Source organism: Homo sapiens, chromosome 22 (genome assembly GCF_000001405.40).
Source record: "Homo sapiens chromosome 22, GRCh38.p14 Primary Assembly".
NCBI lineage: Eukaryota > Metazoa > Chordata > Mammalia > Primates > Hominidae > Homo > Homo sapiens.
Window position 1 is genome coordinate 41,545,877 of NC_000022.11, and position 15,081 is coordinate 41,560,957.

Here is a 15,081-nt window from a genome sequence, read left to right on the forward strand (position 1 = left end):
CGCGCCCGGGCTTGTAGTGTGTTTTAACCAAAATAACAATTTAGGTACTTACAAAAGATACTTGGGGTAAATGACAGAGGCACTTGGAAATGTATGGTGCCTTAATTTGCTGATTTCACAAGCATAGTGATCTCTCAGTGACACTGGCTGCAGTGATGCTAAATGTGGCCTTCCCTGCATCTATGATTTTATTTTTAGGTGTGCTTCTATAGGATTTGAGGTACTTGAGGACAGCAGCAAATGCTACTTCAGCTCTTTATTCCCACAATCCCCTAACACATTCCTAGGAAGCATTGAGTAAAGGTGTTTAGGGATTACCATTAATTCTTCCTCTCAAATGTTTCCTCTTCATTCCACTCCCACTGCTATTGCTTCGGTTCAGGCCTTTTCTTTTTTTTTTCTTTTGAGACGGAATCTTGCTCTGTCGCCCAGACTGGAGTGCAGTGGCATGATCTCAGCTCAATGCAACCTCCACCTCCTGGGTTCAAGCGATTCTCCTGCCTCAGCTTCCCAAATAGCTGGAATTACAGGTGCCCACCACCACACTTAGCTAACTTTTGTATTTTTAGATAAGATTTCACCATGTTGGCCAGGCTGGTTTCGAACTCCTGACCTCAGGTGATCCCCCCCATCTTGGCCTCTCAAAGTGCTGAGATTACAGGCATGAGCCACCGTGACTAGCCAATATCTGGTCATTTAAAAGTATGTGGCGGGGCCAGGCGTGGTGGTTCACACCTGTAATCCCATCACTTTGGGAGGCCGAGGTGGGTGGATCACAAGGTCAGGAGATTGAGACTATCCTGGCTAACACGGTGAAACTCTGTCTCTACTAAAAATACAAAAAAAAAAAAAAAAAAAAAAAAGTAGCCGGGCGTGGTGGCACGCGCCTGTGGTCCCAGCTACTTGGGAGGCTGAGGCAGAAGAATCACTTGAACCCGGGAGGCAGAGGTTGCAGTGAGCTGAGATCACACCACTGCACTCCAGCCTGGCGACAAAGTGAGACTCCGTCTCAAAAAAAAAAAGTGTGTGGTGGCCAGGCGTGTGGCTCATGCCTGTAATCCCAGCACTTTGGGAGGCCAAGGTGGGCGGATCACCTGAGGTCAGGAGTTCAAGACCAGCCTGACCAACATGGAGAAACCCCGTCTCTACTAAATACAAAATTAGCCGGGCGTGGTGGCGCATGCCTGTAATCCCAGCTACTCAGGAAGGCTGAGGCAGAAGAATCGCTTGAACCCAGGAGGTGGCGGTTCTGGTGAGCAGAGATCGCGCTATTGTACTCCAGCTTCGGCAACAAGAGCAAAACTCCATCTTGAAAAAAAAAGTGTGTAGCACCTCCCTCCTCCCACTCTCTCTCTTGCTCCTCTTTTCCCCATGTGATGTGCCTGCTCCTCCTTTGATTTCCGATATCATGGGAAGCTTCCCGAGGCATCCCTGGAAGCTGAGCCTATGCCAGTACCATGCTTGCTGTAAAGCCTGTGGAACCATGAGCCAACTAAACCTATTTTTTTTTTTTTGAGACGGATTCTTGCTCTGTCGCCCAGGCTGGAGTGCAGTGGCATGATCTCGGCTCACTGCAAGCTCCACCTCCCGGGTTCATGCCATTCTCCTGCCTCAGCCTCCCAAGTAGCTAGGACTACAGGCACCCGCTACCACGCCCAGCTAGTTTTTTGTATTTTTAGTAGAGATGAGGTTTCACCGTGTTAGTCAGGATGGCCTCGATCTCCTCACCTCATGATCCACCCGCCTTGGGCTCCCAAAGTGCTGGGATTACAGGCGTGAGCCACCGTGCCCAGCCAGCCTATTTTCTTTATAAATTAACCAGCTCTGTTGCCCAGGCTGGAGTGCAGTGGCGCTATCAGGGCTCACTGCAACCTCCACCTCCCCATTTCAAGCGATTCTTCTGCCTCAGCCTCCAGACTAGCTGGGATTACAGGCGTGCACCACCACACCTGGATAATTTTGGTACTTTCAGTAGAGACAAGGTTTTGCCATGTTGGCCAGGCTGGTCTGAAACTCTTGACCTCAAGTGATCCTCAGCTTCGGCCTCCCAAAGTGCTGGGATTACAGGCATGAGCCACCACTACCAGCCAGGTATTTCTTTTTTCTTTCTTTTTTTTTTTGTGCGTGTCACCCAGGTTGGAGTGCAGAGGTGCCATCTCAGCTCACCGCAACCTCCGCCTCCTGAGTTCAAGCGATTCTCCTGCCTCAGCCTCCTGAGTGGCTGAGAGTATAGGCACATGCCACCACGACTGGCTAATTTTTGTAGTTTTAGTAGACACGGGGTTTCACCATGTTGACCAGGCTTGTCTCAAACTCATGACCTCAGGTGATCTGCCTGCCTCGGCCTCCCAAAGTGCTGGGATTACAGGCGTGAGCCACCACGCCAGGCCCAGGTATTTCTTTATAGCAACGTGAGAACAGCCCAAAACAGAACCCACATGTGATGCTGTTCTCATTCATTCGTGCATTCATTCAACATACTGTTGTGTACAGTTGTTGGAGATGCAATGCAGAAGAAAAACTGGGCCTCAAACCGAGCTTCAACTCAGAGCACTTGGTGCTGGAGTTGGGGGGCAGCAGGGTGGGCACTGAGAGAAAGAGCGAGTTTGTACTCTCAGGTAATTAAAAGTATTTGGAGCCAGGCACAGTGGCTCATGCCTATAATCCCAACATTTTGGGAGGCCGAGGCAGGAGGATTGCTTAAGGTCAGTTTGAGACCAGCCTGGGTAACAAAGTGAGATACTGTCTCTACTAAAAAAATAAAATAATTAGCTGGGTGTGATGGCACTTGCCTGTAGTCCTAGCTACTTGGGAGGCTTAGTTGGGAGGATTGCTTGAGCCCAGGAATTTGAGGCTTCAGTGAGCTTTGATCATGCCACTGCCCTCCAGCCTGGGTGACAGAGCAAGACTCTGTCTCTGAAATAAATAATAATATTCGGGCTGATTTACATGGGAGATGACAACTGGTAAGCTAAGAGGTTAGAGACCTAAGCAGCATCCAGATCAGAGGGCCTTATGATTATATTAACAGCTAACATTCATGAGCACTTACTATATGTCAAGTACTACTTAGGTGCTTTATATGCATTAAGTTTGATCCTCAGAACAGCTGTATACAGTAGGAGCTATCATCGTTATCTCACTTGCCCAATTGTCTCATTTTGCCTCATCTAAGGTAAACAGAGGTTAAGTAGGTCATTCAAGGTCATACAGCCAGTAAGTGGCAAACCTGGGACCCAGGCCCCAGAGTCCCTAATCACGACCACCAGGCTGTGCCCCGCCATGACGTTAGAAGTCAGGAGTTCGAGACCAGCCTGGCCAACCTGGTGAAACCCTGTCTCTACTAAAAATACAAAATTAACTGGGCATGGTGGCGCATGCCTGTAATTCCAGCTACTCAGGAGGCTGAGGCAGAATCACTTGAGCCTGGGAGGCAGAGGTTGCAGTGAGCCGAGATTGCGCCATTGCACTCCAGCCTGGGTGACAAGAGTGAAGCACTGTCTCAAAAGAAAAAAAAAAAAAGAAGGCTAGGATAGGAAAATAACACAGGGACATATCACCTGGGTAGACAGCAAATGGGAAGGGGCTGGAGCGGAGGCAGGACCAGGAAGGAGGTTATTGTGTGGCCGCAGCAAGAGATGGTCAGAGCAAGGCTGGTAGCCATGGAGAGTAACGCTGGTCAGAGTCCAGAGGTCTTCAGGGGGTGGAATGGGTGGGATGACCTGGAGGACAGAAGTGGGAGGAGCCGACGCCTGTGGGCTTTAGCCTTCACCTCTGAGATGGGAAACTGCAGCGGGGCCAGGCTGGGGGCAAGGGGCCAGAGCTGAAGCGGTCAGTGTGTGGGTTACCAGGCTACTGTTACAGTATTCCGCTCACAGGATTGCAACAGTGATGTGTTGGCACGTTTGGTTTACTCATTGGTAAAACCAGAGATCAGGCCTCTTTATGAATTCTCCATGTTGCTCCATGGAAGGTTTGAGGTACAAAAACACACAAGCGGGCCGGGCGCAGTGGCTCACGCCTCTAATCCCAGCACTTTGGGAGGCCAAAACAGGTAGATCACAAGGTCAGGAGATCAAGACCATCCTGGCTAACATGGTAAAACCCCGTCTCTACCAAAAATACAAAAAATTAGCCGGGCGTGGTGGCGGGAGCCTGTAGTCCCAGCTACTCAGGAGGCTGAGGCAGGAGAATGGCGTGAACCCGGGAGGCAGAGCTTGCAGTGAGCCGAGATCGTGCCACCACACTCCAGCCTGGGTGACAGAGCGAGACTCCGTCTCAAAAAAAAAAAAAACCAACAAAAAAAAAACCACCACAAGTGGCTTCATTTTCAAGCTCCGTGACCACAGAGCTTCTCTACCTATTGCGTCCCTGCATGTGCTCTGGCCTAACCCAGTGTCTGATACATGTTATTTGAATGAACAAAATAATAATAAAAGAATTGGCCGGGCGCAGTGGCTCACGCCTGTAATCCCAGCACTTTGGGAGGCCAAGGCAGGTGGATCACAAGGCCAGGAGTTCAAGAACATCCTGGCCAAGATGGTGAAACCCCATCTCTACTAAAAATACAAAAAATTAGCCAGGCACGGTGGCATGTGCCTATAATCCCAGCTACTCAGGAGGCTGAGGCAGGAGAATCGCTTGAACTTGGAGGGCAGAGGTTGCAGTGAGCTGAGATCATGCCACTGCACTCCAGCCTGGGCGACAGAGTGAGACTCTGTCTAAAAAAAAAAAAAAAAAAGAATTGCTGAAAGTATAGGAGTGAGGGAGAAATAGGGCTGGAAACTCACCAAGGCAGGAGAAAGAGAGTCACTCAGGATGACTAGGAGCATAGCATTTCCATGCCACAGCACACGAGTTGAGCACCTGCAGGGATGCCCATGACCCTCTCAGTGCCCCACGGCCTCTCTGTAAAAGGGAAGCAGCAATAGATCCCATCTCAAATGACTGTCCATCAGCAGAGTGCTGGCTGAAAAAAAAAACATGGTACATCACATACCAGAAAAATGTGAAGCCATGAAAAAGAATGAGAATGTCCTTTGTGTATTGATATAGAATGATATTTAGGATATATTGTTAAATCCAAAAATACAAGGTGCAGAGCACTGTGTAATGGTGTAATGGGATGTTACCATTTGTGTAAAAAAGGGAGAAAAATAATTATCTAATATTATTTTATGCAGAAAATAGCTCTGAAGGGTTCATAAGAAGTGGATTACACTGGTTGTCTCCGGAGTAAGGAATGAACAGCTGAAGCGGGGTGAGGGGCAGTGGGAGGGGAGAGAATTTTTTCCTAAATGCACTTTGGAATCTTTTTTTTTTTTTTTTTTTTTTTTTAAAGAGACAAGGTCTTGGCCCGGCGCAGTGGCTCACACTTGTAATCCCAGCACTTTGGGAGGCCGAGGCGGCTAGATCATCTGATGTCAGGATTTCGAGACCAGCCTGGCCAACATACCCCATCTCTACTAAAATTACAAAAAATAAGCCGGGCATGGTGGCGGGCGCCTCTAATTCCAGCTACTCGGGAGGCTGAGGCAGGAGAATCACTTGAACCCAGGAGGCAAAAGTTGCAGCAAGCCGAGGTCATGCCATTGCACTCCAGCCTGGGCAACAAGAGCGAAACTCTGTCTAAAAAACAAACAAACAAACAAACAAACAAACAAAAAACAGAGAGAGAGAGAGACAAGGTCTCACTCTGTCATCCAGGTTGGAGTGCAGCAGTGTGATCATAGCTCACTGCAGCCTCAAACTCCTGGGCTCAAGCAATCCCCCAGTCTTAGCCTCCTGCATGGCTGTAGCTGTGTACTATAGGCACGTACCACTCCACCCGGCTAATTTTTTTATTTTTTATTTTTGTAGGAATGGTGTCTCACTATGTTGCCCACGCTGGTCTCGAACTCTTGAGCTCAAGTGATCTTCCCTCCTCGGCCTCCCAAAGTGCTGGCATTAGAGGTGTGAGCCATTGTGCCCGGCCAGGAATCTTCTTTGTGTGGGATCATGGGACTATATTACCTGTTCAAAATGAATAAAACAAAATTTAAAAAGCAATTAAGATTTTTTTTCACATCTTAAAAAAAAAGCTTCTCTTGGCCCCCTTTCCTGGCTCCCTTTTCCTCCAGTGAATGCTCCATTTTTCTGCTCCCTTTACTAGCAAAACTGCTTGAAACAGTCGTCTGTACTTGTTGGGTCCCTTCCAAACCTCTCTTCTCTCTCCGACCTGCTTCAGCCAGGGTTCTGCCCCTGCTGCTCCAGGGAATATGCTTCCTGAGGGTCATTAATGGACTCCGTGTTGCCAAATCAGTGGTAATTCTGTCCTCAGTGGCAGTTTTTGTCCCAGAAGGTCAGACACCCTTTCCCCTGTGGCCCAGCCATGTTCTCCACCCACCTCACAGACTCCTCTCTCGGCCTCACAACAATGGTGGGCCTTGGGCTCACTTTCGGTTCTGGGTACACTCCTGCGGGTACCATGCCTCCACACAGCACCTGCCGCTCATGTCTCCACCCCTTCCTGCCAGCCTAGCCTCTCTCCCTGAGCACGGACTCCACAGCTCCATCTGGTCACTCGAGTTTAACATGCGTCACAGTGGGACTCCTGGCTGGCCCTCCCAACAAACCTGCTCTTATTCATCTTCCCTGTCTCTTTTTTTTTTTTTTTTTTTTTGAGACAAGGTCTGTCGCCAAGGCTGGAATGTAGTATTGAGATCCTCCCACTTCAGCCTCTCCAGTAGCTGAGACTACAGGCGTGCACCACCATACTCAGCTAATTTTTGTATTTTTTATATTTATTTATTATTTATTTATTTATTTATTTTTGAGACAGAGTTTCACTCTTGTTGCCCAGGCTGGAGTATAATAGTGTGATCTCGGCTCACTGCAACTTCCGCCTCCAGGGTTCAAGTGATTCTCCTGGCTCAGCATCCCAAGTAGCTGGGATTACAGGCATGTGCCACCACGCCTGGCTAATTTTTTGAATTTTTTTAGTAGAGACAGGGTTTCACCATGTTGGTCAGGCTGGTCTCGAATCCCTGACCTCAGGTGATCCGCCCGCCTTGGCCCCCCAGAGTGCAGGGATTACAGGCATCAGCCACTGCGCCCAGCCTCATTTTTGTATTTTTTTTAGAGATGAGGTCTTGCCGTGTTGCCCAAGCTGGTCTTGAACTGAGCTCAAGCAATCCTCCTGCCTCAGCCTCCCAAAGTGTTGGGATTATAGGCGTGACCCACTGCGCCCAGCCTCTTCCCTGTCTTAGAAAATGACTTCTCCACTCTTCGTTGCTCAGGTCCAGGCTTCAGAATCATTCTCCACTCTTTGTCTCTCACACTCTTTGTGAATCCCTGAGCAAATCCTGTTGTTGCTGTCTCCAAAATGCATCCAGAATCCAACCTTTCTCCATCAACTCCACTGCCATTTTTGGGTCCCAGCCACCCTCAATCCTCCCCGGGCCATCGCAGCAGCCCCAGTACAGGTTTCCAGGTTCCTGTCCTCACGCCCTGCCGCCTACAGGCAACACAGAAGCCAGAGAATTGCTGTTTCAGTGTCAGTCAGGAATTTTCTCTCTTCCCCTGCAGACTGTGCAACACCCCATCTCCCTAGAGGAAAAAGCCCAGGCCTCAGGATGGCCTTCACAGCCCTTGGGGTCCCCCTGCCCCAGGACTCCTCCAACCTCATGCCCCACTCCTCCGCCTGGCGGCTGTTTTTCAGACACCCCAGACCCACCCCCACTCAGGTCCTCCACCTGTGCCGTTTCCTCTCGCTGAACACCCTTCCAGTCACCTCCTCCAGCTCCTTGCTGTAACGTCACCTTGGTGAGGCTTGCCCTGGCCCCCTGTTTTATTTTTGTTTATTTATTTTGTAGAGACAAAGTCTCATTATGTTGCCCAGGCTGGTCTTAAACTCCTGAGCTCAAGCGATCCTCTTGCCTCAGCCTCCCAAAGTGCCAGGATTACAGGTGTGAGCTACCAAGCCCAGCCTTGACCCCCTGGTTTAACCACTCACCACCATCCCCACACTTCCCTGTTTAATTTTCCCTGGCATTGCCTAGGCTAGCATTCCTAGTCTTCCAACATGACATTATTTATTTATTAAGCTATTTTTGTTTGTTAGGCTTTTTTTTCTTTTTTCGACAGGTCTTGCTCTGTTGCCCAGCAGAGTGCAGTGAATTCCTGGGCTCAAGGAATCCTCCTGTCTCAACCTCTCCAGTAGATGGAACTATAGGCACTTGTCACCATGTCCAACTTTTTTTTTTTCTTTTTGAGATGGAGTCTCGCTCTGTCACCAAGGCTGGAGTGCAGTGGCACGATCTCTGCTTACTGCAAGCTCCGCCTCCTGGATTCACGCCATTCTCCTGCCTCAGCCTCCTGAGTAGCTGGGATTACAGGCACGTGCCACCACTCCTGGCTAATTTTTGTATTTTTAGTAGAGACAGGGTTTTGCCATGTTGGCCAGCCTGGTCTTGAACTCCTGACCTCGGGTGATCCACTCGCCTCAGCCTCCCAAAGTGCTGGGATTACAGGCGTGAGCCACCGTGCCTGGCCTTATTTATTTGGGTACTTTTAAAACCTCTCTCACACACCTATAATCCCAGCGCTTTGGGAGGCCGAGGTGGGCGGATCACAAGGTCAGGAGATCGAGACCATCCTGGCTAACACGGTGAAACCCCGTCTCTACTAAAAAATACAAAAAATTAGCCGGGCATGGTGGTGGGCGCCTGTAGTCCCAGCTACTCGGGAGGCTGAGACAGGAGAATTGCCTGAACCCGGGAGGCGGAGCTTGTAGTGAACCGATATTGCGCCACTGCACTACTCCAGCCTGGGTGACAGAGCGAGACTCCATCTCAAAACAACAACAACAACAACAACAAAAGTCCCTGCATGGAGGCCAAGGCACAGGCAGAAGTGCCACTGGGAAAGGAGATTCTAGAAAAGGCCTAAACACTAGACATCCTGGGCCAGGTGCGGTGGCTCACACCTGTAATCCCAGCACTTTGGGAGGCCGAGGCTGGCAAATGACTTGAGGTCAGGAGTTCAAACCAGGCTGGCCAATATGGTGAAACTCCATCTCTGCTAAAAATACAAAAATTAGCCAGGTGTGGTGGCAGGTGCCTGTAATCCCAGCTGCTCAGGAGGCTGAGGCAGGAGAATCGCTTGAACCCAGGAGGTGGAGGTTGCAGTGAGCTGGGATTGCACCGTTGTACTCCAGCCTGGGTGTCGCAGCAACTCCATCTCAAAAAATAAAAATAAAAATAAAAACCACTAGACATCCAGATGTCACCCAGGATGCTGCTCCCTGGTTTGGCTTGGGCCAAAAGTGAAATGCAGAGAGTCACCAGGTATTTGGTGAGGGCCTCAGAGGCCCTCCTATAGGGTCCTGTGCTCTGGGGGGACTGACAGGAAATGGAAATAGACACGTAGGGAGATCATTCCAGGTGGTGCCATTGAGAGGGTCACATGGATAACATGATGGGGCATAACTAGAGACCACTGCCCTCACCAGGGCACCAGCTATAGCTTTGTTCAGAAGGTGAGGACGAAGGGGAACCCTCAGCATTGAGAAGGCTGGAGGCCTATGGCCCAGAGGGCCCAGGAGTGTGTGTGAATGGATGGATGGCTGAGGGAGACTTGGCTCACAGCCCAGACCAGCCCTGGAGCAGCCAGGAGACAGACTGCTACCCCAGCCTCAGGATCTCAGGGCAGGGTGCGGGGGAGGTTGACTGGGCCAGAGCCCGCTACCCATCACAGAGAGCTACTCCCACGGACCTGGGAGGAATTCTGGAAGGAGTCTGAGCAGCAGCTGCAGAAGGAGACCCTGCCCCACGGCCCAGGGACCTCAGCTGGGGGAACCCCCTCACCTCCCCCATTCTTCTGCCTGCAGTGATTGCTACCCCAGACAAGGGTGCCAAGCTCTGAAGCCTGCTGGCCACAAAGAGGCTCTGCCAGGTTGCCAGCTATGCTGTTTGTTGGCAGAAGCATGTCATTCTTTCCCCTCTCATTTCAGATGAGGAGCAGACCTCTCATCAGGTCCCCCAAATCCCATACGATGTGGCTGCTGCCCTTCTCCTACATGCTGTTCCAGCCACATCTGCAATCGTAAGTTGCTTGAATGTGCAGAGTTGTTTCTCCCCTCTGGGTGTTCCCTTCCCTGCCTTTTTTTTTTTTTTTTTTGAGAGGGAGTCTCGCTCTGTTGCCAGGCGGGAGTACAGTGGGGTGATCTTGGCTCACCGCAACCTCTGCCTCCCGGGTTCAAGCGATTCTCCTGCCTCAGCTTCCCGAGTAGCTGATACTACAGGGACACGCCACCACACCCAGCTAATTTTTGTACTTTTAGTAGAGACGAGGTTTCACCATGTTCGCCAGGATGGTCTTGATCTCTTGACCTTGTGATCCACCCACCTCGGCCTTCCAAAGTGCTGGGATTACAGGTGTGAGCCACCACACCCAACCCCCTTATTTTTTATTTTTGTAACTTGTGATTCTACATTTGTCTGTGGATTTTGTATCATCTGTATCATTTGTAGATGAGATGCGAGCTCCATGAACTCAAGGAGCTCACCTGCGTTGTCTGCCGCTGTCTTCCTGGAGCCTTGGCCATCTGGTACATGGTAGGCAGGCAATAAATATTTGCTGAACGTATGAATGAATGCACAAATGATGTGGTCAGATCTGCAGGAAAAGATCTTCCCTGGCAGAAGGGTGGTAGTCGGATTGGAGGAGACAAGTGGGAGACAAGGAGAGAGGAAGGAAGGACCACTCTGATTTACTGAGTCCAGGTTGGAGGTGAGTCCCACTGTAGGGGAGATGGGCATCTAGGGGATTGAAAAGACATTTCAAAGACAGTGTGGCATGGCAGGAAGAATAGGAATGTAATGAAGCCAGAATCTCTGTGTGTGTGTGTGTGTGTGTGTGTTTGAAACGGACTCTTGCTCTGTCGCCAGGCTAAGAGTGCAGTGCCGCGATCTTGGCTCGCTGCAACCTCCGCCTCCCGGGTTCAAGCGATTCTCCTGCCTCAGCCTCCCGAATAGCTAAGACTATAGGCACTTGTCACAATGCCCAGCTAGTTTTGTACTTTTAATAGAGACAGGGTTTCACCATGTTGTCCAGGATGGTCTCGATCTCTTGACCTCGTGATCCTCCCGCCTCAGCCTCTCAAAGTGCTGAGATTACAGGCATGAGCCACCGCGCCTGGCTGAACCTCTGTGTTTTAATACCAGCTCCATCACCAGCTGTGATGCTCTGTGCCTGAGCATCCTCATCATCTTGTCACACGGCACCAACACCTTAGAGGTGTATGTATCTCAAAGGGATGTGGATTCAATGCCACATAGGTCCAGGCCTGGCCACCACAGGTGGGCTGACCGTCGATAACAGGAGTGAGAATTGTAATTCAGGTGGAATCAGTAGTCGCAGGGGCTATTTGGCTCTAACCCACCTCTTCGGCTTCTCCAAGGCAAGGGAGGCTTTCGAGGAGATGAGCTTTTGAATTCTCAGCTTTTCACAAAAATAGCCTCCACGCCGGAGCCCCTGGTTTCAGCCAGACGATTTCTTTGTTACTCAGCTGCTGGTGGGTGGGTGGGTGGGGCTGCGGCTGCTCTCTTCCTGAATGAACAGCTGTGCCCTCTCATCGCCGGCTCAGGAATAATCATAACACTGCTTCAATGCTCGGCCCAGCCTCCTTCATTCACTGCTCTCTGGCTGCCTGGCAGCTCTGGGCACATGTTCAACAGCCCATGGGAGGGGCCAAGAGAAAGGAGACTGGACGTGAAGGGAGGGGTCAGGGCCTTGGCCACAGCAGCCGGGCCTCAGCCTCCTGAGAGCTGGCCTCCGGGACCCTGCCTCATGTTCCGCATTCCCTTCCCTCACCCTGTACCCTGACACTGCCTCCTTTCTGTTCCTCCGCCACCCCAAGCTCATATACAGCCAAGGGCCTTCCAACCTCCCGAGCTTCTTCCCTCTCGATGTCTTCTCTCTAGGTCCTGACAAGCTGGGTCCCGAGGTCACCTGGAGTGCAGAAATGTCCGCCCAGCCACTCCCCCTCTGCTGGCCAATCAGCTTATAACCCATCACTCAAACAACATGGGGGCCCCCGGGAGAAGGGCCAGCCTGGGCATCCACATTCCAGCTCAAGTCCTGATGCCAGTTCTGGTTGGCCAAGCCTGGGCCAGAGGTCCTACAGACCAAGAGAGGGGAGAGGTGATTCCCCAGGTGACAACATCAAGGCAGTTCCCAGCAAACAGGATAGTAAGGGTGGCCAGGGAAAACTGCCAGCGTCCACCATGGCTCCAGCGCTTCTGCTGGGAGGGCAGGTTGGTGTGTTTGAAAAACATAGGTCCACCGGGCGCAGTGGCTCATGCCTGTAATCCCAGCACTGTGGGAGGCCAAGGTGGGCGGATTGCCTGAGGTCAGGAGTTCGAGATCAGTCTGGCCAACATGGTGAAACCCTGTCTCTACTAAAAATACAAAAAAAGTAGCCGGACGTGGTGGCGTCCTCCTGTAATCCCAGCTATTCAGGAGGCTGAAGCAGGGGAATTGCTTGAACCAGGGGTGTGGAGGTTGCAGTGAGCCAAGATCGCACCACTACACTCCAGCCTGGGCAACAGAGCAAGACTCCGTCTAAAAAAAAGAAAAAAAAGAAAAAAAAAACATAGGTCCAGAGATCAGGCTTGGGGCCTCTGCTCCAGCACTCCTCCACTTCGGAGCCGCGTGACTCAGTGGAGCCCCACGAGCTCTCTGAGCTGTTTCCTCATCCCACCGAACCCGATAGAGCTGTCAGAAGAAGCAGGCAAGGGGCTAGGCGCAGTGGCTCATGCCTGTAATTCCAGCACTTTGAGAGGCCGAGGCAGGTGGATCACCTGAGGTCAGGAGTACAAGACCAGCCTGGCCAACATGGCGAAACCTCATCTCTACTAAAAATACAAAAATTAGCCAGATGTGGTGGCACATGCCTGTAGTCTCAGCTACTCAGCAGGCTGAGGCACGGGAATTGCTTGAACCCGGGAGGCAGAGGTTGCAGTAAGCTGAGATCACACCACTGCACTCCAGCCTGGGCGACAGAGTGAGACTCCGTCTCAAAAAAAAAAAAAAAAAAGAAAGATATTATTGCTGGAGGAGAGGAAGGCAAAGAAGAAAGAAGAGACGATGTTATCCCAGCACTTTGGGAGGCCAAGGTAGGAGGATCGCTTGAGGCCAGGAGTTTGAGACTAGCCTGGGCAACATAATGAGACCCCATCTCTATAAAAATTTTTTGAAAACTTAGCCAGGCATGGTGGTGCACCCCTGTAGTCCCAGCTACTCATGAGGCTGAGGCGGGAGGATCATTTGAGCCCAGGAGTTGGAAGCTGCAGTGAACTGTGATTGAGCCACTGCATTCTAGCCTGGGTAACAAAGCAAGACCCTGTTTCAAAAAAGAAAAAATAAATAAATAAAAAGGAGGAAAGAGAGAGGAGAATTTAAAGGGGAAGGGAGGCTCCTCTGGGTAGAGTTCTCAGGTGGGGCTGTGAAATAAAATCAGAACCCTGGCTGGGCGCGGTGGCTCACGTCTGTAATCCCAGCACTTTGGGAGGCTGAGGTGGGTGGATCACGAGGTCGGGAGATCGAGACCATTCTGGCCAACATAGTGAAACCCTGTCTCTACTAAAAATACAAAAAAATTAGCTGGGTGTGGTGGTGTGTGTCTGTAGTCCCAGCTACTCAGGAGGCTGAGGCAGGAGAATCGCTTGAACCCGGGAAGCGGAGGTTGCAGCGAGCTGAGATCAAGCCACTGCCCTCCAGCCTGGGCGACACAGCAATACTCTCTAAAAAAAATAATAATAATTCAGAACATCCCCAGGTAACCACAGGCAGCATTTCTCAACAGTCTCTCCTGCAGAACCAGAAACCCAGACTGTCTGAGCCTGATTGTCCTGAGAGGTTCTGGAAGGGCAGGGGCGTGTGGTGACACTGGGTGCTCCTGGGTTCCAGTACCTCTCTAGCCAGTTGGAAGAATATAGGCAAGTCAAGTCCTTCCTCCTCCCTGAGCCTCTAATTCCTCACCGGTAAAGTAGGGATGATAAAAATAAATTATTAAATTGTTGTGAGGTTTCAATGAGGGCAAAGCTTGCTGCCTGAAACAGAGCAAGCTCTTGTGGCGTCTTAGCTATTTGTATTAGTTACTTGTATTTTTCTCTGCGGTTTCCCTTTTAACTCCCACCTCCTTTTTATTTTAAAAAGACTCCTTTTGAAAATGCCAGCCTGCCTCAGTAGTACCAGGAGACACCAGGGAAAGGCTTCCTTCTTTCCAAGCTGAGGCTGAGAAGGAATGGGAAGAACGAAGAGAAGCACCTTTGTGGAGGCCTCCTCCAGCTGGCCCTGGGTTTAGGAACATCACACACTCAACCTCCAAAGGCCCTCAGGGGCTGGCCCAAGGTCACACAGCTTGACAGTGCGGAGCACTTCGAAGCCAGGGCGTGTGGTGTAGAACAGGCTGGGTGCCTGAATTCAATCAGCCCTCTCTACTTCTCTACTCAGAGCCTCCCAGGCTGTGGGGTGTTCACCTGTGCACCTTCAAGCCGATCACTTCCTTGGGGTCCTCGTCAATTCAATTCCATGGAAATATTACAAGGGGTAGACAGAGATGAGCCGTGTCAGTGTCTGTACTAGCAGAGGGCAGGACCACTGAGCGTCCGGAGGGGAGACGAGTGTCTGGGTGTCCCTGGGAACCTGGCTTGTCTCGACCCCTCTGGGGGGCTCCTCTTGGCTCTGACCTCCATTCTCCCAGACTCACCCCCACTCATGCCCACCCACCCCGAGGGGCCCCCCAGTGTGCACTCACACACTCACACTCAAACTCACCACCCCACTTGCTCTCTAATTACCAGGAACGTGGCGCTGTCTCAGGTTCTTCCTCCCCTGCATTCCTCAGCAGCTGCCCTCACTGGGCAGGGCAAATTATACCGTGGCCCGACCATAAAAGCCACTTTCCAAAAAAAGAAGCTTTAAGGCCCCCGAGAGACGCAGCTGAGCCTCTCACCTGGCAGTGCCTGACTCAGGAGGTGATGTCTGGGCCATGAGCCACAGAGCCTGGTGTCCCTTTAAGCAGGGAGTACAAATTCT

At 51.0% G+C, this 15,081-nt stretch overlaps 1 long non-coding RNA gene across 1 annotated transcript, besides 2 other annotated features; it reads right to left on the reverse strand.

Annotated features, from left to right (window-relative positions):
• Window positions 1-5,832: 5,832 nt before the first annotated feature.
• On the reverse strand, window positions 5,833-15,007 carry LOC105373044 (uncharacterized). The gene is made up of 2 exons (NR_134631.1): window positions 14,844-15,007; window positions 5,833-6,012 (listed from the first exon to the last, which is right to left on the reverse strand). It is a non-coding gene; the product is annotated as an uncharacterized LOC105373044 (long non-coding RNA).
• Window positions 9,719-10,218: an enhancer, noted in NCBI's record as "H3K4me1 hESC enhancer chr22:41951599-41952098 (GRCh37/hg19 assembly coordinates)". NCBI's record gives its function as "activates a minimal SCP1, AML or CMV promoter by ChIP-STARR-seq in primed H9 embryonic stem cells {active_cell/tissue: H9 hESC(primed)}" and the evidence as "EXISTENCE:reporter gene assay evidence [ECO:0000049][PMID:30033119]".
• Window positions 10,749-10,996: a silencer, noted in NCBI's record as "fragment chr22:41952629-41952876 (GRCh37/hg19 assembly coordinates)". NCBI's record gives its function as "represses an EF-1alpha promoter that drives an FKBP-Casp9 reporter gene in an ReSE screen in phorbol 12-myristate 13-acetate-treated (for megakaryocytic differentiation) K562 erythroleukemia cells {active_cell/tissue: K562(+PMA)}" and the evidence as "EXISTENCE:reporter gene assay evidence [ECO:0000049][PMID:32094911]".
• Window positions 15,008-15,081: the final 74 nt, after the last annotated feature.